At 36.0% G+C, this 22,435-nt stretch overlaps 1 protein-coding gene across 23 annotated transcripts in view; it reads right to left on the reverse strand.

Annotated features, from left to right (window-relative positions):
* Positions 1–22,435, reverse strand: part of CEP112 (centrosomal protein 112) — a 556,597-nt gene that overhangs the window by 122,643 nt on the left and 411,519 nt on the right. Inside the window, exon 22 of one of the 23 annotated variants that reach the window (XR_007065282.1) lies at positions 16,118–16,247. The exons of the other annotated variants lie outside the window; for them this stretch is intronic. The gene's annotated coding sequence lies outside the window, so the exon portion shown is untranslated. The remainder of the gene's footprint in view (positions 1–16,117; positions 16,248–22,435) is intronic. 23 annotated transcript variants of the gene reach the window in all.

The following is a 22,435-nucleotide window of genomic DNA, read 5'->3' on the forward strand; positions in this document are numbered from 1 at the left end:
AGAAATAGTAGTAGTCATAGTAGTAGTAGTGGTCGTTGTTTTCATCTTTGGTTCTTTCTGACTGTTGCCATTTCTGATTGGTTGTGCCCGTCCTCCTCCAGACAGTATTCAGTTCTCATCTGTTTTTCTAGGGCTGCTTCCTCAGATCATTCTCCTTATTAAAGAGCCCAATGTATTGGTTCACTTTTAATTCCTAACAAAAGCTTGGGTTTAAAACTCAATTAGAAAGGGGGAAAAATACGACCAATTTACAAAAGTGTCCATGGTTGTAATTATCTTAATGTGCTACCCTTTTCTTTGCATTATGCCTCAATTTTTAAAAAGTCCTTCATTCCTTCATTTTCCATTTCCTATCATTAATGGTGAAGGTTCAGGCATTCATGATTTCCAGGAAAGTGATTTGGAGAGAAGAAAATTAGGAGATTTGTCTAAAATATTTATATTTAAGGCAAGCCCAGATCTTACTATGATAGCTTTAAAATATAATAGCTATGTCTTTAAAATCTTCAAATATCTTTAAAATATAATAGCATAAGTTTCTGAATAAAATAGTTGTTTTAGGCTGAAAGAAAGCAAGAATGCTTCCCAGATCCTAGAAACATGGCATAAAGCTCAGATAATTATGCACTACTACTTTCTATTCAAAAGCTTTGTAGGCATCTATTTGAACCTTCTTGGAACACTATTGTCAGAGGCGTATGAACCAGAGCAACTCCATCTTGAATAGGGGATGGGTAAAATGAGGCGGAGACCTACTGAGCTACATTCCCAGGAGGTTAAGGCAGTCGAAGTCACAGAATGAGAGAGGAGGTAGGCACAAGATACAGGTCATACAGACCTTGCTGATAAAACAAGTTGCAGTAAAGAAGCCAGCCAAAACCCACCAAAACCAAGATGGTGATAAGAGTGACCTCTGGTCGTCCTTGCTGCTACACTCCCACTGGCACCCTGACAGTTTACAAATGCCAAGGCAATGCCAGGAAGTTACCCTATATTGTCTAAAAAGGGGAGGCATGAATAATCCACCCCTTGTTTAGCATGTAATCAAGAAATAACCATAAAAGTGGGCAACCAGCAACCCTAGGGGCTGCTCTGTCTATGGAGTAACCATTCTTTTATTCTTCTATTTCCTTGATAAATTTGCTTTTACTTTGCGGACTCAACCCTGAATTCTTTCTTGCGCGAGATCCAAGAACCCTCTCTTGGGGTCTGGATGGAGTCCCCTTTCATGTAACACTATGAATCCAGTTATGGCCAGCCTGGTAAAACTCCGCACCATCCTACCAGCAAAAATATTTAGAAAATTTATAACAAATATTTGTATTTAATTTTAAATATTTACAAAACATTCAAACTTGAAAATAATCTGTATTTTACTTCAAAATAAATGTGCAAATTTGTAAAACAGTAAAATTCATGACTGCTGCCCTGGCTGTGATGAAGTAACTGCCACAGTAAACAATGAGAAAACTGGACAAAACAAAGGAGAAACTGTTTTAGGATATCAGGCAACAGGAAGCAGAGGATTGTGACCCAAAGAGAAGGGAAACAAATGAGGTAAGCGCTCATTTAGTTGTTCTTTGATTTATTTAATTCTTCTCTGATTCTTTCATCAGAATTCTGTAGATTTCATCATATAAATCTCATACATACAGATGGTTCTTGACACGCAATGGCATTTCACCCCGATAAATCTGTTGTAAGTACAAAGTATCTTAAGTAGAAGATGCATTTAATACCTCGATAAACCCATTGTAAAGTCAAAAAAATCATGAAGTTGAACCTTTGTAAGTCAGGGACAGTTATTATAGACGTATACCTAAGTAGTTAATTTTGGGGGTACTAATGTAAATAGTATTGTGTTTTTGGTTTAAAATTCCACTTATTCATTGCTGGTATAAATGAAAGCAGTTGATTTTTATTTATTAACCTTGCATCCTGTAAACTTGCTATAATCACTTATCAGTTCCAAGAGTTTGTCGATTCTTTTGGATTCTCTATATAGACAATCACATCATCTGCAAACAAAGAGAGTTCTATTTCTTCCTTTCCAATCTGTATACCTCTTATTTCCTTTTCTTGTGTATTGCATTAACTAAGATTTCTTTGATGTTAAAAAGGAGTGGTGAGAGGGGAATCACAATCAATGCCCTGTTTCTGATCTTAGAGAGAAAGCTTCTACTTTCTCACCATGAAGTTCAATGTTAGCTGTAGGTTTTTTGTAGATGTTCTTTATCAAGTTGAGGAAGTTCACCTCTATTCCTAGTTTGCTGAGATTTTTTTTCATGAGTGGCTGCTGAATTTTATCAAATGATTTTTCTGCATCTATTAATATGATCATATGATCACACAGATGCGATTGATTACATTCGCTGATTTTCAAATGTTGAGACAGCCCTGCATAACTGGGATACATTCCACTTGGCTCTGGTATATAATTCTTTTTGTACATTGTTAGATCAGTTTGCTAATATTTTGTTAAAGATTTTTTCATTTATGTTAATGGAATATAATGGTTAATAGATTTTTTTTCTTATAATGCTTCTGTCTGGTTTTGGTATCAGGGTAATGCTGACCTCACAGGATGAGTTAGGAATTATTTCCTCTGTTTTTATCTTTTGAAAGAGATTGTAGAGGATTGGTATAATTTCTTCCTTAAAAGTTTGGCAGAATTTACCATTGAATCCATGTAGGCCTGGTGTATTCTGTTTTGGAAAAGGAGGGTCATTAATTATTGATTCGATTGCCTTAATATATATATCCATTCAGATTATCTTTTTCTGCCTGTGCGAGTTTTGGCAGATTGTGTTTTTGGCAGATTGTGTCTAGGTTATCAAATCTATAAGCATATAATTGATCATAGTATTTATTTATAATCCTTACAATACTCGTGGGCTCTTTAGTGATACCTCATTTTTCATTACTTTTATTAGATATTTATATTCTTTTTCTTTTTTTCTTAGTTTGCATGGCTAAAACCTATCAAATCTATTGATCTTTTCAAAGAACCAGCTTTTGGTTTCATTGATTTTCTCTATTGATTTCCTGTTTTCAAGTTCATTGATTTCTGCTCTAATTCTTTTAAACTTTTTTTAAATTATTTTTATTTTTATTTTTAAAGACAGGGTCTCACTATGTTGCTCAGGCTGGATTCAAACTCCTAGGCACAAGGAATCCCTCAGCATCCCAAGTAGCTAGGATTACAGGTACATGACACTGCCTTTGGCTCTGCCCTATTTTTATTATTTCCTTTCTTCTGCTACTTTGGATTTAATTTGCTCTTCTTTTTCTTGTTTCCCAAATGAAAGCTTAGGCTATTGATTTTAGATATTTCTTCTTGTCTCATAAATGCATTCTATGTTATAAATTTCTCTTTAATCACTGCTTTCTCCCTATCACATAAATTTTGGTAAGTTCTGGTTTCATTTAGTCCAAAATATTTTTAAATTTATATTGAGATTTCTTCTTTGACCCGTGTGATTTTTAAAGTGTGTTATATAATCCCAAAGTATTTGGGGATTTCCACCTATCTTTCTGTTGATTTCTAGTTTAGTTCCATTGTGGTCTGAGATCAGATATTGTATGATTTCTACTCTTTTAAATTTGTTAAGATACGTTTTATGGCCCAGAATGTAGTCTATCTAGGGGAATGGTCCATGTGAGGTTGCAAAGAATGTGTATGCCGCTGCTGTTGGATGAAGTAGTCCAAGATATCCATTATTTCCAGTTGATTGATGGTGTTGTTGAATTCAACTATGTCCTTACTGATTTTTCTGCCTGCTGGATCTGTCCATTTATGATAGTGGGTATTAAAGTCTACAACTATAATAGTAGATTCATCTATTTCTCCTTGAAGTTCTATCAGTTTTTGCCTCACATAGTTTTTGTTTGTTCGTTTTTGGTTTTTTTGCCTCACGTATTTTGATGTTCTGTTAGGTACATATACACCTGTTAAGGATTGATATGTCTTCCTGGATAATTAAACCCTTTATCATTATGTAATGGCTACCATATCCCTGATAATTTTTTGTCCTAAAGTCCACTGTATCTGAATTTAATATAACTACTAATTCTTTCTTCTGCTTAGTGTTAGTATGGTATATATTTTTTTTGATCCATTTACTTTAAACCTATATATGTCTTATATTTAAAGCAGGTTTCTTGGAGACAATATATAGTTGGGTCTTATTTTTTGATCCACTCTGACAATCTCTGCCTTTTAATTGGTATGTTTAGGCCATTGACATCCAAAGTGATTACTTGATATAGTTAGATCATAGCTACCATATTTGCTACTACTTTCTATTCATTGTCCTGGTTCAGTTTTCCTATTTTTGTCTTACACTGTTTTTCCTGCATTTTGTGGGTTTTAATTGAGCATATTCCATTTTCTCTCCATGCTTCTTTTTTAAAACATATTTTTTACTGGTTGCCCTAGAGTTTATAATATATATTTATAAATAATCCAATTCCACTTTCAAATAACACTATATCATCTCATGGATAGTGGGAGTACCTTATATGAATGAAATAATCCTAATTTACTCCTTGTTATTTTTTGTATTACTGCTGTCATTCATTTCACATATATGTAAGCTTATGTAAGTATATATGTCTGTATAAATATATATGAATATTGTTGCTGTTAATATTTTGAATAAACTGCTGTTAGGTCAATTATGAAGAAAAATAAAAGTTTTAATTTTATCTTCACTTATTCATTCTCTGATGCTCTATGTAGATCAAAGTTTCTTACCTATATCATTTTCATTTTATCTAAAAACTTCTTTTTAACATTTCTTGTGAGGCAGGTCTACTGGCAACAAACTCCCCCAATTTTTGTTTGTCTGAGAAAGTATTTCTCCTCCATTTTTGAAGAATAATTTTTCGAGGTACAGAATTCTAGATTCGTAGAGGTGTTTTCTCTCAACACTTGAGATTGTTCACTTCTCTCTCTTCACGCTTGCATGATTTCTTAGAAAACTGATGTAATTCTCACCTCTCCTTTTTATACGTAAGGTGTTTTTCTTTTCCCTCTGGCAGATTTCAATACTTTTTAAACATTTTTTATTTTCTGCATTTTGAATATGGTATGCCTAGGTGTGTAGCATGTTTTTTCTTTCATTTATGCTGATTGGTGTTTTCTGAGCTTACAGATCTGTGGTTTGGTGTCTGACATTAATTTGGGGAAATTTTCAGTCTTTATTTCATTAAATATTTCTTCTGTTCCTTTCTCTCTTTCTTCCCCTTCCTTTATTCCCATATGTGTACATTACACCTTTTGTAGATGTCTCAACTACAAAAGATATTTTATTGTTTTTTTTCAGTCTTTTTTTTTCTCTTTGTTTTACAACTTTGGAAGTTTCTACTGAGATATCCTCAAGCTCAGATATTCTTTCTTCAGCTGTGTCCAGTCTACTGATGAGTCTATCACAGTCTTCATTTCTGTTAGGGTTTTTGATCTCTAGCATTTCTTTTTCATTCTTTCTTAGAATTTCCATCTCTCTGCTTACACTGCCCATCTCTTCTTGCATGCCATCTACTTTATCCATTAAAACCCTTAGCACATTAATCGTAGCTGTTTTAAATTCCTGGTCTGATAATTTTAAGATCTCTGTCATATATGAGTCTGGTTCTGATGCTTGCTCTGTCTCTTCAAGCTGTGTTTTTTGCCTTTTTTGTATGCCTTGTAATTTTTTTTTCCTTATAGCTGGACATGATGTATTGGGTATATGGAACTGCAGTGAAAAAGGCTTTAATCATGTGGTGGTAACGTGTTAGGGAAGAGGAAGTATTCTACAGTCCTATAACTAGGTCAGTCTTTTAGTAAGCCTGTGCCTCTGGGCTGTAAATGTCACTGTGCTTCTCAGTTTCTCCCCCTCCTAGCTCAACCAGGATGGTTCAAGAATGGAGGGATCTGGACTTGTGTATTTTCCATCCCCCATATAGAAGGCTAGAGTTGGCTGTAGGTGGTTATCTCCCTTCCCCCAGATTGGTTAGGCTCTGAAAAATCCCCAATAATTTAGGTGCTTGTAAAACCATTTTTCTTGGTATTTTGTTGCTGTTGGATACAAAGTTATATATAGCCCATTTTGTCTAAAGCACAATTCAATGTCAGTATTTCCCTTTTAATTTTCTGTCTCATTATCGGTCTGTTGTTGATGGGGGATATTGAAGTCCCCACTATTACTGTATTGCTATCTATTTCTCCCTTCATGTCCATTAATATTTGCTTTATATATTTAGGTGCTCTAATGTCTAATGTCTAATGTGCTCTAATGTCTAATATATATTTACACTTGTTATATCCTCTTGATGAATGTCCTCTTTATCATTAGTGACTTTTTTTGTCTCTTATGAAAGTTTTTGACTTGATGTCTATTTTAAATCTAAATATGGCCACTTCTGTTCTCTTTTTTTTTTTACCATTTGTGTGCAATAGCTTCTTCCATCCCTTCACTTTCAGCCTATGTATATCCTTAAGGCTAATGTGGGTCTCTCATAGGAAGCATATAATTGGATCTTGATTTTTTATTCATTAAACTACTCTGTGTCTTTGGATTGGAAAATTTAATCCATTTGTAATTATTGACGTTTAAGGACTTACTACTGCTATGCTGTTTATTGTCTCCTGGTTGTTTTGTATATCCTTTGTTCCTTTTTTCCTTTCTTATTTGCCTTCATGATTTGGTGATCTTCTATAGTGTTAGGTGTTTATTCTTTTTTCTTTATTTTTTTGTGTATCTGCTATAGTGTTTTGCTTTGTGGTTACCACAAGGCTTACGTAAAATGTCTTATAGTTATATAATAATTGACTATTTTACACTGATAACAACTTAATTTTTTCCACATACAAAAACTCTAAACATTTATCCTCCACCCTGCTTGATCTAGTCTGCTGTTGAAGCTCTCTATTGCATTTTTAAATTTCATTCATTGAATTCTTCAGGTCCAAGATTTCTGTTCGGTTCTTCGTTATGATACCTATCTCTGTTGAATTTCTCATTCAGATCATAAACTGATTGATATCATCAAATTGTCTCTCTATATTCTCTTGTAATTTTTTTGAGTTTCCTTTTCTTATTTTGAATTGCTTTACAAACAATTCATACATTTTCTTTTCTTTGGGGTCAGTTACTAAAGAATTATTGTGTTCTTTGGTGGTGTCATATTTCCTTCCTTTTTTAGGTGCTTGTAAAACAGTTTTTCTTGGTAGGCTCTGTTAAGTGCAACAAAGTGCTCTGGTGTATTTCACAATGGTCACTTTTCTCCTTCCCCTGCCAGAAGCACAAATGATTTTTTTCTACAATATTCATGACGAGAACCTGGTCAAGCTCCTGGGGGCAAAACTCACAAAAGCCCAACACTGCTATGGCTGCTTGCAAGCCATGTTAGACCCAATACCAAGAGAGTTTCCCTCAGCTAAGACTCTCCATTGTGGGGAACATTTAAACAGAAGGACCCCAAGAGCCTGTGCTACTGTGAACTCTCACAATATGTTGCTGCCACTGATTCCCTAAACTCTTATAGCCTATGGCACTGAGGTACCCACAGTCATCTGTGATACTGATCACAGCTGAAGAAGCTGCATGGAGGCTTGACCACTGCATCTATCCAGAAGCAGGGCCAGCACACCCTTTTCAACCAGCACATTAAGGTCTATCTGCAGATGAAAATATTTTCCTATGAAAGTAACTCTGTAAAGTTTGGAAGTGGTGACTGTTTCATCAGATGTGAAGACACCAATTCAGAAACACAAGAAACATGAAAAAGGAAGGAAATATGACACCACCAAAGAACACAATAATTCTTTAGTAACTGACCCCAAAGAAAAGAAAATGTATGAATTGTTTGTAAAGCAATTCAAAATAAGAAAAGGAAACTCAAAAAAATTACAAGAGAATATAGAGAGACAATTTGATGATATCAATCAGTTTATGATCTGAATGAGAAATTCAACAGAGATAGGTATCATAACGAAGAACCGAACAGAAATCTTGGACCTGAAGAATTCAATGAATGAAATTTAAAAATGCAATAGAGAGCTTCAACAGCAGACTAGATCAAGCAGGGTGGAGGATAAATGTTTAGAGTTTTTGTATGTGGAAAAAATTAAGTTGTTATCAGTGTAAAATAGTCAATTATTATATAACTATAAGACATTTTACGTAAGCCTTGTGGTAACCACAAAGCAAAACACTATAGCAGATACACAAAAAAATAAAGAAAAAAGAATAAACACCTAACACTATAGAAGATCACCAAATCATGAAGGCAAATCAGAAAGGAAAAAAGGAACAAAGGATATACAAAACAACCAGGAGACAATAAACAGCATAGCAGTAGTAAGTCCTTAAATGTCAATAATTACAAATGGATTAAATTTTCCAATCCAAAGACACAGAGTAGTTCAATGAACAAAAAATCAAGATCCAATTATATGCTTCCTATGAGAGACCCACATTAGCCTTAAGGATATACATAGGCTGAAAGTGAAGGGATGGAAGAAGCTATTGCACGCAAATGGTAAAAAAAAAAAAAGAGAGAACAGAAGTGGCTATATTTAGATATAAAATAGACATCAAGTCAAAAACTTTCATAAGAGACAAAAAAGTCACTAATGATAAAGAGGGCATTCATCAAGAGGATATAACAAGTGTAAATATATATTAGACATTAGAGCACACTAGACATTAGCCATTAGAGCACCTAAATATATAAAGCAAATATTAATGGACATGAAGGGAGAAACAGATAGCAATACAGTAATAGTGGGGACTTCAATATCCCCCATCAACAACAGACCGATAATGAGACAGAAAATTAAAAGGGAAATACTGACATTGAATTGTGCTTTAGACAAAATGGGCTATATATAACTTTCTATCCAACAGCAACAAAATACACATTCTCCTTTAGTGCACATGGAACATTCTCCAGTACAGACTACATGGTGGGCCATAAAACAAGTCTTAAATTTAAGAAGATCAAAATCATGTCAAGTATTATTTCTGGCCACAATGGTATAAAATTAGAAATCAATAACAGAATTAACTTTGGAAAATTCACAAATATGTGGAAATTAAACAACTGGCTCTAAATAATCAATGGATCAAAGAAGAAATCAAAAGAAAAACTGAAAACGATCTTGAGACAAATGATAATGAAAACACAACATACCAAAACCTATGGGATGCCCAAAAGCATAAATGTCCCATAAGAGGAAAGTTTATAGCAACAAATGTCTACATTTAAAAAGAAGATCCCAAATAGCCTAACATTAAGCCTCACAGAATTAGAAAATGAACAAATTAAACCCAAAGTTAGCAGAAGGAAGGAAATTAATAAATATCAGAAAAGAAATAGAGAATAGAAAAACCACAGGAAAAAAACAATAAAACTAAGAGTTGGTTTTTGAAAAAATGAACAAAATTGATAAACTCTTAGTTATACCAGCTTAAAAAAAGAAAGAGAAGATTCAAATATATAAACTCAGATATGAAAGTGGAGACATTACAAAAGATGTTCTCAGAAACAAAATAGATCATAAGGAACTATTATTAACAATTATATGTCAACATAGTTGATCATCTAGGGTAAACAGATTAATTCCTAGGAAAATATAACTGAAGAAGGTTGAATAAGAAAGAAATAGCTTGAACAGGCCAACAACAAATGAAGAGATTGAAGTAGTAATTTAAAATCTCCCCAAGAAAGAAAAGCCCAAAACCAGATGTCTTCATGGCTGAATTCTACCAAACTTTCAAAAAAGAATTAATACCAACACTTCTTAAATACTTCCAAAATAAAAAAGAGCTGGATAATACAGCTGACCCTTGAACGACATGGAGGTTAGTGGTGCTGACCACCCCCCAAATGCAGTCAAAAATCTGCATGTAACATTTGACTACCCCAAAACTTAACTACTAATAGCCAACTGTTGACTGGAAGCCTTACTGATAACATGAACAATCAATTAACACATATTTTATATATTACATTTATCCTACACTTTATTTTTACAGTAAAGTAAGCTAGGGAAAACAAAATGTTATAAAAATAATAAAGAAGAGAAAATATATTTAATATTCATTAAGTGGGAAGTGGATCATCCTAAAGGTCTTCATCCGTGACATCTTGATGTTGAGTAGGCTGAGAAGAAGGAAAAGGAGTTGGTCTTGCTGTCTCAGGGGTGGCAGAGGCAGAAGAAAATCTGCAGATAAGTAGACCCATGCAGTTCAAACCTGTGTCGTTCAAGGGTCAACACTACTTCCTAACACATTTTATGAGGCAGCATTACCTTGATACCTAAGCCAGAAAAAGCAACATAGGAAAACTATAGGCCAACCTCTCTGAAGAACATTGATGCAAAACTCTTCAATAAAATATTATCAAACCAAATTCAACAACACATCAATACATCGTGATTAAGTGGGTTTTACCCCTGACATGCAAGGCTGGTTTAATATACACAAATCAATCAGTGTGATATATCACATTAACAAACCACATGATCATATCAGTTGACAAAAAAGCATTCAATACAGCTCGATGTCTGATTTGATAAAAACTTTTAACAGTTTAGATACAGAAGGAAAGTTCTTCAACATAATAAAGCCTATTTGAGTAAAACCCACAGCTAACATCATAATCAATGGGGAGAAACTGAAAGCTTTTTCTCTAAGATCTGGTATAAGGTAAGGATGCCAACTCTTAGCACTTCTACTTAGCAGAGTACTGGAGGTGCTATCAAGAACCATTAGACAGTAAGAAGAAATAACAGGTATTCAAGCTGGATAAAAAAGAAGTAAAATTATGTCTATTTGCAGATGACATGATTGTGTATGTGAAAAATCCCAAAGATTGCACACAAAAACCTATTAGATCTAATAAATTAACTCCATAAAGTTGCAAGATATAAAATCAATATATAAAAATCTGACATTTCTATACACAACAATGTAGCCAAAAAGGAAACTGAGAAAACAACCTCATTTACAATCACATCAAAAAAATAAAATAGGAATAAATTTAACCAAGGAGAGACCTGTACACTGAAAACTATAAAACATTAATAAAAGAAATTGAAGAGGACACAAAGAAATAAGATATTCCATGCTCTTGGATTGGCAGAATTAATATTTTTTAAATGTCCATACTACTCCCAAAGGAATATATAGATGCAATGCAAACCCTATCAAAATTTCAATGACAGTCTTCACAGAAATAGAAAAAAAAACCTAAAATTCATAAGGACCCACAAAAGACCCCAAATAGCCAATGCAATTCTGAGAAAAATAAAGTTGGAGGCATCACAAATCCTGATTTAAAATTGTATTACAAAGCTGTGGCAACCAAAATTGTATGGTACTGATATAGAAACAGATGCCTAGACTAATAGAACAGTATAGAGAGCCCAGAAATAAATCCAAACATATATGGCCAACTAATTTTCAGCAAGGGCAACAAGAAAACACAGTGAGGAAAAGATAGTTTCTTCGATAAATAGTGCTGGGAAAACTGTATTTCTACATGTAAAAGAATAAAATTGGACCCTTATCTTACGCCATACATAAAAATCAACTGTCTCTCCAAATTTGGGAGCAGCAGTTTTCCCTGTGAGTTTACTTCTCTGATAAATATAAAAAATGCTGATCAGTTTTTTTCCTGCTTTTTACTTGTTGTTAGGATGAATGGCAACTTCCAAGCACCTTACATGCCAGGGCAGAAACTGGAAATTAAGCTAAAAATAACATTTTAAATATCCAAATGGTTCCCAGAGAGACAAGGAGTAAGTTTACTGAATAATCTCAGTTATCTCTGAGATAGTATCACATCATCTAACATATGTGTAGTTGTATCCCAGAAAGAGAAAGAGGTTTGGAAAAATATTTGCAGATGGAATGGCTGAAAATTTTCCAAAATGAAAAAAAAAACCTCTAAGACCACAAGTCCAAAAGATCATCAAACAAACAAACAAACAAAAGATGAGATAAATACAGAGAAAACCATATCAAGGCATAACATAATAAAATTGCAAAGAAAAGAAATAAATATAAAATCTTATAAGAAGCCAGAGAAAACAGATACATTAAAAAGACAGGAATCAATGAAGATTTCTCATCTGAAAAGTCAGAGAACAATACAATGAATCTTTAAAGTGCTGAAATTAAAAAAAAAATCTGTTAATCTAGAAATGCATATCCAGTGAAACTATCCTTCCAAACTGAAAGTGAAAAGCACACATATTCAAAGAAAAATTGGAGAGAATTTGTCACCAGTAGATGTGCACTACAAAAAAGGTTGAAATAAGTCGTTCAGGCAGATGGACCTGATACTAAATGGAAACCTGGATGAAACCAAGGGAACAAATAGTACTGGACATAAAAAAAGTGTGTAAATATAAATTACTTTTTATTCTCACGTTAAAATTTCTTTAAAAGACAATTGAATATTTAAAGCAATAATAACAAATTGCGAGGTTTATAATACTTGCAGAAACATAGAATATGAATGTGGAAATGGAAGTATACTGTTAAGAAACTTACATTTTATATGATCTGGTACAACAGTAGGTGAAGACAGACTGTAATTAAGATGTATATAATAAAACCTAGATCAACAACTATAAAAACCAACAGTGAAGAGGTATAGCTAATAAGCTAATAGTAGAAATAAAATAAAATGTTAAGAAATAATTAATTCAGCCACTGCACTCCAGCCTGGGCAACAGAGCAAGACTCCGTCTTAAAAAAAAAAAAAAAAGAAATAATTCAATAAAAGGTAGGAAAAGAGGAGAAAGAAACAAATATAAAAGAAATAGCAAAATGGTATATTAAAACCTAACAATATCAATAACTATGTTAAATATAAGTAGCCTAAAAATTCCAACTAATCGGCAAAGCTTATCACTGTGTTTTTAAAAAAAAGTTTAACTACATGGTGCTTTCACGATAAATGCTTAAAAATCTTTTAAAAAAGGTTAAGATTAAAAGGATGACAAAAGATGTACCATGCAAACAGTAATCATAAGAAAAGTGGAGTCAACATATGAATATCAAACAAAGTGGATTCCAGAACAAAGAAGCTGCTCTGTATCTCTGTAGAGATACAGAGGGGCATTTCACAATGATAAAAATTGAATTCATGAAAATGATCTAACAATCCTAAATATGTATGTACCTAATTTTAAGGGCTTCAAAATACATGAAACAAAACCTGACAGAAATGAAAGGATAAATAGGCAAATTCACAAATGACAACTGAAGATAATTCAAAACTCCTTTCACAGGAAGTGATAGGACAAGTAGACCGTATTAGTGAGGATATAGATAATTCAAAAACTGCTATCAACCTACTTGACCATTAATCAAGATAGACCATATTCTGGGCCATAAAATAAATTTCAGTAAATTAAAAAGGATTGATCTCATACAGACTAAATGCTCTGACCATAAAGAAATTAAATTAGAAATCCATAACAGAAATTTATCTTAATTTTTGTAAAGTAAAAGATAGACATATACTAATATTAGAGTCAAAGAAAGAATCATGGCTAGGCATGGTAGCTCATGTCTATAATCCCAGTGCTTTGGGAGGCCAAGGCAGGAGAATTGCTTGAGGCCAGAAGTTCAAGATGAGCCTGGGCAACATAGTGAGACCCCATGTCTAAGAAAAAAAATAATTTAAAAATTAGCCAGGTGTGGTGGTACATGTCTGTATTCCTAGCTACTTGGGAGTTGGGAGGTGGGAGGGTTGCTTGAGCCCAGGAGTTTGAGTTTATAGTGAGCTGTGATAGTGGCACTGCTCTCCAGCCTGGGCAACACAGCAAGACCCTGTCCCTGAAAAAAAAATTGCAAAGGAAATTAGAAAATATTTGGAAATGAATGAAAATGGAAGCATATACTTATACAATGCAGCTAAATCAGTACTTAGAGGAAATTTTTAGCTTCTGAATTCTTTTATTAGCAAAGAAGGGAGTTGAAAAATAAGTGGTATAAGCTTTCAATTGAAGCAACCTGAAAAAGAATAGCAAATTAAAGACCAAGTAAGCAAAAGAAAGAAAATAAATATAAGAGTTGAAATCAATGAATTAGAAAAGAGGAAAACAATGGAGAAAAATTAATGAAACCAAAAGCTGGTTCTTTAAGAACAATAAAATTGATAAATTTCTAGATGTATAGATCTGAAAAAGAAGACACAAATTACCAATATCAGAAATAGAGACAGGGGACATTACTATCAGATTCTGTAGACATTAATAGGGTAATAAGAAAATATGAACATCATATTTACAAATGTTTGATAATTTAAACAAAATGGATAAATCTCTTAAGTGTTAGAAATTACTCAAAGTGACTCAAGAATTAGAAAACTCAAAGACCCCTCTATTTATTACACACACACACACACACACACACACACACACACACACACACAGACAGCCCCTTCTGAAACCCTGATATACCCCTCTGCACTGTGTTAGTTTTGCAAACATTTACTTTGAGGACCTTCTCCGGGTTAGGCACTGTATGTTTACAGAAGTAAAAGATTTAATGCAGTTGGGGAGGGAAGAGACAGATGAGTGAATAAATAAAATACTGCATAATAAGTGTCATGAAAGAGATCTGCACAGGGTGTTATTAAGGAAAAAATATGAGATACCCTACATGAGAGAAGACTTCCATAAGGAGGTGAATATTAAAGGGTAATGATGATAATGATGATGATGATGACAATGACAATGATAGCAACAACAACAAAATAACTGTTTACTTTTCTCTTGATCTATTGACACATATTGGCTAAATGTGTTACACATATGAATGAATCTAAACCTCTCAAAAACTCTGCAGTAGGCACTATTATCCTCACTGAAACCGAGAGACCCAGCAGATAAAGAACTTGTCTACGGCTATGCAGCCAGGGATGAAAACGAATCAAGTGACTGAAAGAGAAGAAAGTTTCAGATGACAGGAGTGACGTGCAAAGGTACAGACGCTTGAGGAAGCATGGTAGGTAGATTTGAGGCTGCAAGCTTCTTTCCTTCCTTCACAGGCACATTTCTTGAAAGGTAATATCTACCCCCTGCCTTCATTTTCGTTTCCTTATTAGTTCAAGAAATATTTACTGAGCTCCTTGGTGACTACCCAGTCTTTCCTTGATGACCTGAAATTTGACCCTGTCCCTTCTATTCAACTTGCCAACAACCTTTTTACTGCTGTAATAAGAGGCCATTTTTTTATAATACTCATTTTCTTCTGATTATAAAAGTAAATTCAGATTGTGGTGATGGTATACAATTCTGTAAATCTGTTAAAAATCATTGAACTGGACACAAAACAAGAATGTCTCCAAATGTAAATTATACTTCAATAAAGATGGGTTTTTTTAAGTAAATAAATGCTCATTGTAGAAAAACCAAGAAATAGAAAGAAATACATATGGTGACTATCTCCTGTAATCTATCACCGCATGTAGCTAGTGATTTTTCGGTGCAATGTTTTTGCACATTACCTGGATATTTCTGAAGTCTTAAACCTGATATTTTCTTCTACTCAGCCCTGCCCAGCTTGTCATTCTACCTTCCCTGCCTCGTGGGAAAGTATAGAAAAAGCAAAGGAGGTTGGGCACAGTAGCTCACGACTGTAATCCCAGTGCTTTGGGAGGACGAGGCAGGTGGATCACCTGAGGTCAGGAGTTCAAGACCAGCCTAGCTAACATGGCAAAACCCTGTCTCTACTAAAAAAATACAAAAATTAGCCAGGTGTGGTGGCACACGCCTGTAATCCCAGCTACTTGGGAGCCTGAGGCAGGAGAATCACTTGAATCCGGGAGGTGGAAGTTGCTGTGAGCTGAGATTGCACCACTGCACTCCAGCCTGGGTGACAAAGTGAGGCTCCATCTCAAAAAAAAAAAAAAAGTCCATTTTTGGATTTAAACGATAACCAGGGCTGACTGGATCCAGGGCGGGGAATAAGAATACTACTTGAAAGTCGGTTTTATCTCCCTGCTTCCCTCACCCCCAGACTAGAAAAGAGGGATGGGGCATAATCGGGAATGAAGGAGAAAATGTTTACCTGCGGTTTTGTTCCCGAGAAAAGACCCTATTTCTTACCCTGCCTTCTCCATTAAGCCTGGGAGATGGGGAAACAATAGAAGCCCCATATAGGTCAGGGGTCCTCTGAGAGCAGAAGGAGCTGGTGTTCACAGACAGGTCAGGAGAGGTGAGAGGCTGTGGGGCCACACTGTAGAGCAGAGAGACACAAGCAGGGATGAGCTTGGCAGCGTGTGTTCAAGCTGGCCAACAAGACTGCAGGACCCGTTTCCTGTGGGCTCCCCACTGCCCCCTGACCACACACAGGAAGAATACAACATTTCCTGGGTGTCTGAGAGCAGCACGGATGTAGCCAAAATAATGTCCAACCAAAGATTAGTGGGGATAATCGATGTCTCCGTGGGTGCTGGGTGCGTAGGTGACATCCAGGATCGGAGGCCCTACCCCATGGCATGATAGAGCCACTGGGGCTTACATGCCATCCTGGAACCAGGGGAGTGACTGAGGCCTGAGGTGATGAAAGGCAAGTAGCAAGTTTCTGCTGCACAGCCAAATGGTGATTCAAAACAGAAATGGATTCCAGTGAAGCAGGCACCTCTGACTTTATGGCCTGAGATCCAGACCCTTCACAGCATATCAGCAGGAAGGGTTCAGCGAGGCTTTGGTGGTATTTGGCTCAGATCCTGGTTTGCTGCTCTGCTTCCTCTTCACGAAGGAGACATGCAGGAAAGGAGTAGTAGCAGCGGAGACACAAAAAGCTGCTTTATTACAGGCTGCTTCTGTGCTCAATACCCTTGATGTGGCGAGTGGGCGGGAACATGAGGCTCAGTTTCTGAGCCCCATGAGGTCAAGACTCCCTCCTCCCAAGCTTGAAAATCAGCATTTGACCATCTTTTGGTCAACATAGGGGAGAGGAACCTGAAGCCGTAGCAAGCTCACTTAGGCCTAAAGAGAGAGCGAGCCAACTGGGCCTGCCTGGAAAGACTCCAGCCCTGTCATACCCTCACAGCTGGGACACGGAGTCAGAGGAAGCTAGGGCCATGCAAGTGTGACACCAGGGACCCTGCTCACCCTCAAGCATGGCAGAGACAATGTCCTCACCAGATCAGTGCTGCCTCTGCACGCAGGGGAAGGGGGTTGAGGAAGTAGAGACGGCAGGAAAGCACAAGCATTTTTATCACGGTTTTCCCCACTTTGCATTATATCATAAACATTTTCTCATGTAATTAAAATTATTTCAAAACCTAATTTTTAAAATTTTATTTTAAATTTTATTTTTTTTTGAGATGGAGTCTCGCTATGTCATCCAGGCTGGAGTGCAGCGGGTGCGATCTTGGCTCACTGCAACCTCTGCCTCCCAGGTTCAATCTATTCTCCTGTCTCAGCCTCCCGAGTAGTTGGGATTACAGGCATGTGCCACCACACCCGGCTAATTTTTGTATTTTTAGTAGAGATGGCATTTCACCATGTTGACTAGGCTTGTTTCTAACCCCTGACCTCAAGTGATTCACCCGCCTCAGCCTCCCAAAGTGCTGGGATTACAGGCATGAGCCATTGCGCCCAGCAAAACCTAATTCTTAAAAGCTTATTATTTCATCATGTGAGTTGAGACTTTTAAAATGTTCCCATAAATTCAGGAAAAAACTGATTCTTCCGTAGCCACAGTAACATGTAGCCATCAGAACTGGTTTTAAATCCGTTCAATTAATCAGTGACGACTGGCTTTGGTGAACACACTTTCGTAATCAACCAAGAGGTGTCAGCCCCTGACTTCGAAAAGCCAGCTAATCAGAGATGAACTCGCTGCAGCAAACATACCTCTGAGGCCAACCAATCGGCAACAGTCTCACACAAGTCGCTGGACTTCTACTTCACAATGTCAAGCCGTGGCTTCGAAAGGACCTCCCACCTCCATCTCTATGCCACCCCAAACCCTGTACAAGATCTACCATCTGCTCTATTCAAAGGGACTGTGCCTGACCGGCATAGCTGCCCGCCCCCATCCCCTTTTTTTTTGAGACGGAGTCTCGCTCTGTCGCCCAGGCTGGAGTGCAGTGGTGCAATCTCGGCTTGCTGCAAGCTCCGCCTCCCGAGTTCACACCATTCTCCTGCCTCAGCCTCCCGAGTATCTGGGACTACAGGTGCCTGCCACCACGCTCAGCTAATTTTTTGTATTTTTAGTAGAGATGGATGTTAGCCCGGATGGTCTCGATCTCCTGACCTCGTGATCTGCCCGCCTTGGCCTCCCAAAGTTCTGGGATTACAGGCGTGAGCCACCGTGCCCGGCCAGCTGCCCCTTTTTATAGTTAGTATGTGATCACCTTTCTCTTTTTATTTGAGATACTGACAGGAGATAGCATGACTTATTGAACCATTCTTCTATTGCTGGATATTTAGATTATTTCCAATACTTAATCATAAATAAAACTGTGGTATTTATCTGCACATAAAAATGTTTCATTGCACCACTGATTATATTTTTAAGATAAATCCCAGAAAGTGAAATGACTAAGTCAATGGATAGAAATGGTTTTAGAGATTTTTATAAATATTGTCACAGTGCTTTCCAGAGAGACTGTATCAATTTACACTCATATATATCATTGTCTGGGGTGCCCATTCTGCTATATGTTTGTAAGAATTAAGTATTTCAATTAATACAATCTTTGCCAATGTAATAAGAATAGTTTCTTATTTTAATTTGTATTTATTTCTGAGAATGAATATGCTAGTTGTTTCCATAACACCTATTCTCCCTTCTTCCATAAGAATAAAATTTTTGGTTGGGCATCTGCTGTCCAGAATAAAGACTACATTTTCCAGCCTCCTTTGCAGCTGGACGTGGTCATGTGACCGCATTTAGGTGGCATGTAAATGGAGGCACTGTGTGGCAGCTTCTGGAAACTTCCTTTTGAGGCGCCATGTAGGTGAACTTGGATTCTTCTCTGTCCACTTCCCACTCCTCATTCTGATGCCTAGGCTTTAATGCAAGCTTGGACCACAAAGTTGAGGACTGCACCACAGGGATGGCATAGGGTAAGCCAGACTGTGACCTGAATGTGAGAGAAATAAACTCTCTTGTTTAAGCCACTATTTAGATTTGGAGTTTTCTGTGACTCACTGGTGATTCTAATCATAATGAATACACCCCTGGTTTATTGGCCATATTTCCTGACCTTCTGTTCTGATTTGCCACCTGCTGACTTGCCGCTTCCATCTAAGCTGTCCCCCTGAGAACATAACAATTTCACATCTCAACAGTTCTAAGTACTTTGAGGGTAGGAGCTGTGCTATAGTCATTTATCATCCCACTACCCACACCCTACACACCAAGGCCAGTGATCAATAAGCAGGTGCTTATCGTAGTACTCAATATGTGTCTAGTGGTTGAAGTTCTCCTCCCCTTCATGAATATTCTTAATCTGGAGCTATAGCTAGGCTTTAAGAGTCCATAGACCACTCCCTAAAGTTTTATTCAAACCTTTTATTTTAGTTTATTATATTTTATTCATATATAAATTTTTTACATATATCCTATATTTTTTTCTGGAAGAGAATCTAAATATTTCAGCATATATTTTCAAAGGACTAAATGACTCAAAGAAGTTTGAATGGCACTGTACCTATGACACACTGGAACCACCATTCTGCCCCACCAATAGGCTTAAAACCATTACTTTTTCTTCAGTTCATTGGTCCATCACATTTCCACTGCCTTACCCAATTCAGTTATTTCTCAGTCTCACGTTGACAGTATTCTCCTGACCTGTCTCCCTACCTCAATCATTAGCCCATCTCTAATGTGCCCTGGACCTCTATGGTGACTGTCCTGCCGAAGGATCAGTCCTGCTTACCAAGTCCACAGTCCCCACCCTGGTACTCAAGGTCCTTCGTGATAAGGAGCCCATGTCTCTTTCAAACACCACCTTTATCCTGTTGGAGATCAACTTCTCAAAGACAGGAATCTTTTGTCTGTTCTGTTCACTGATATATCCCAAGACCAACACACAACACAACCAATAACTGCTGAATGAATGGAGGAATGAATGAATGTTTTCTAATATGGATTAATGGGGCTTTTCCAGATCACTTTTTTGCTTTGCAGTCTCTGTCCCTCTGCCATAATCCTACCAATATACCATGACTAGTTCATATGCTAACATTGTTTTCTTTGCTTATTTCCCTTAGAAGTGATTTACTTTTTGCCCTTTAGTATTTAGAGTCCTGGTAACATGCATGGCTGTTCTATAGTCTTTTGAAAATGTGTCTTCTTTCTGAATAGGTTATTAACACAGCTCGTGGCTTTGGCATCATTGTTCAGCCCTTAGTAGTTGCTTGAAAAATACTGTTTAATGAATTAATTAAAAAAAGAAGGCTGTATGGGCTGAATTGGTGAGATTTTTATAGCTTTTAGATAAAAAGATGGCTATTTCTTTATCTCCACTTAGCATATTAAAGGTAAGGCAGAGGGAGAGGTGGAAGTGAAAAAGTTTCTAAGTATAGAAAAATATGATTTACTATACTTTTTATTTTTTGTTATTTCTTCTAAGTGGAGATAAAAGAGAATTTGGGGTAAAATGAAAATTGGACATAAATTTACCCAAAAAAAGGCATCTTTCAGGGTGCAGTGACTTGCACTTTTAATCCCAGCTACTTGGGAGGTTGAGGCAGGAGGATCATTTGAGCCCAGGAGGTGGAGCCTATAGTGAGCTATGATTGCACCACTATACTTCACCCTGGGTGACAGAGCAAGACCTTATCTCTTTAAAAAAAAAGGCATTTTTTTGTCTTGGTAAACAATTTGTTTTATATGCCATAAATAGTTTAAGGCATTTAAAAATAATTCAAATATTTAAAGAAAGTTGATGATAAAAAATAACCTTTTAAAGACATAATTTAATATCAATTCAAAGAAAAAACTCTCACATTGCAGTTATAACTTCCCCAAACATTGTACTAAACAATAAAATCTTACTAACTTAGTTGAAAACACAAAAGCTAATAATTGTTCCTAGCAAGTTACTATTAAGTAGTAGGCAGACTGTCATTTACAACACTTCTGATTATCACATTTCTAATTTGAAAGCCCCTTCTTGAAAAGAGTAATCGAGACAGGAGAGTGGTAGGAAGTGAGCAAACATTTGTGTACTATCTACTAAGTGTCAGGTATGAATAAGATTGTTCTTATTCTTGATGTTGTATCCTAAGACTTTTGAATCTTATCTTAAGTCAAGGACAAGTTCTCAGTTTGATGTCATCATCACAGGAAAGGGTACTTTAATTCAAGAATTCTTGTCCTTTTTCATCATTACATATAAATCCCAACTCAAGAAAATGGCAAACTAGTTTAAATAGCAAAACATCTGCAAATGTCACTGATCCATATTTAGTGACTCCTCAGTTTCAATTCGTTTCTAGAAAATTGACTGAATCATGTTAGATGGTTGCTTTACCCAGAAACAGAAGCTAATAATTAGGAACTACAAGTGCTCAGGTTTTTGTCACTGCCTATTCATTTTATAAGAATCCCATAGGAAAGCCACATACTTTATTAAAGAAGGAATAAACAAGACCGTTTTTGAGAAGTGTTGTAGTGTATGCTTATCAATACCCCTATTTACTAATACTTAACAAAAGCTCTTTTTCCTATACTGGACCTACTGAGTTTTCCATTAAACTCAGTACTGAGTTTCTCATTAAATACTGGACCTACTGAGTTTCTCATTAAATACTGATGAATCCATTCTAAGAAGAAATGCCCATATATTCCTGAATTTGGTCCTATTTCTGAATATGTCTATTGGTACTGGATACATTCCCTGTCCACACAGAGTTAGTAACTGTGGTCAGTTTTGTGGACTTTTATAATATTTATTTAATGGCAGTTAACCTAAGGAATAGCATGGGACAGTTGATTTTCTTCTCTCACTATAATTCAGGACTAATTTTCTCACCATTGCAACATATATTTACATGGCTAACACCCATAAATGATCACATAAGATTTACATGCATTTCCCCACCCTGCTCACTGAATAAGAAAGCAAACTGTGAAACAAGCTTATGGAAATAGTTAAAGAATTAAGATCTAATCATATTTCAAAGCTCACCCTCAGAGAAGCTCTCTGAAGCAAAGGCCGCAGAAACTGAAACTCATTTATTACTTGGGCTGAAATACAAACTTTAAGAGAATGAGGGAGAAAAAAACCTTTACTTTGCTCTAGGGAAGAAGCAACTATTCTCTGATGTGCAGAAAATAATTTATCCTCAAAGACCAAATGTAAATGGGGTCAATTAATTTTTTTTAAAATCTCTACCTTCTGTAATATTTTTCTAAGTCTTTGACACTGTTACACTTTATACTAAAATCTAATGTGT

Source organism: Homo sapiens, chromosome 17 (assembly GCF_000001405.40).
Source record: "Homo sapiens chromosome 17, GRCh38.p14 Primary Assembly".
Taxonomy (NCBI): Eukaryota; Metazoa; Chordata; class Mammalia; order Primates; family Hominidae; genus Homo; species Homo sapiens.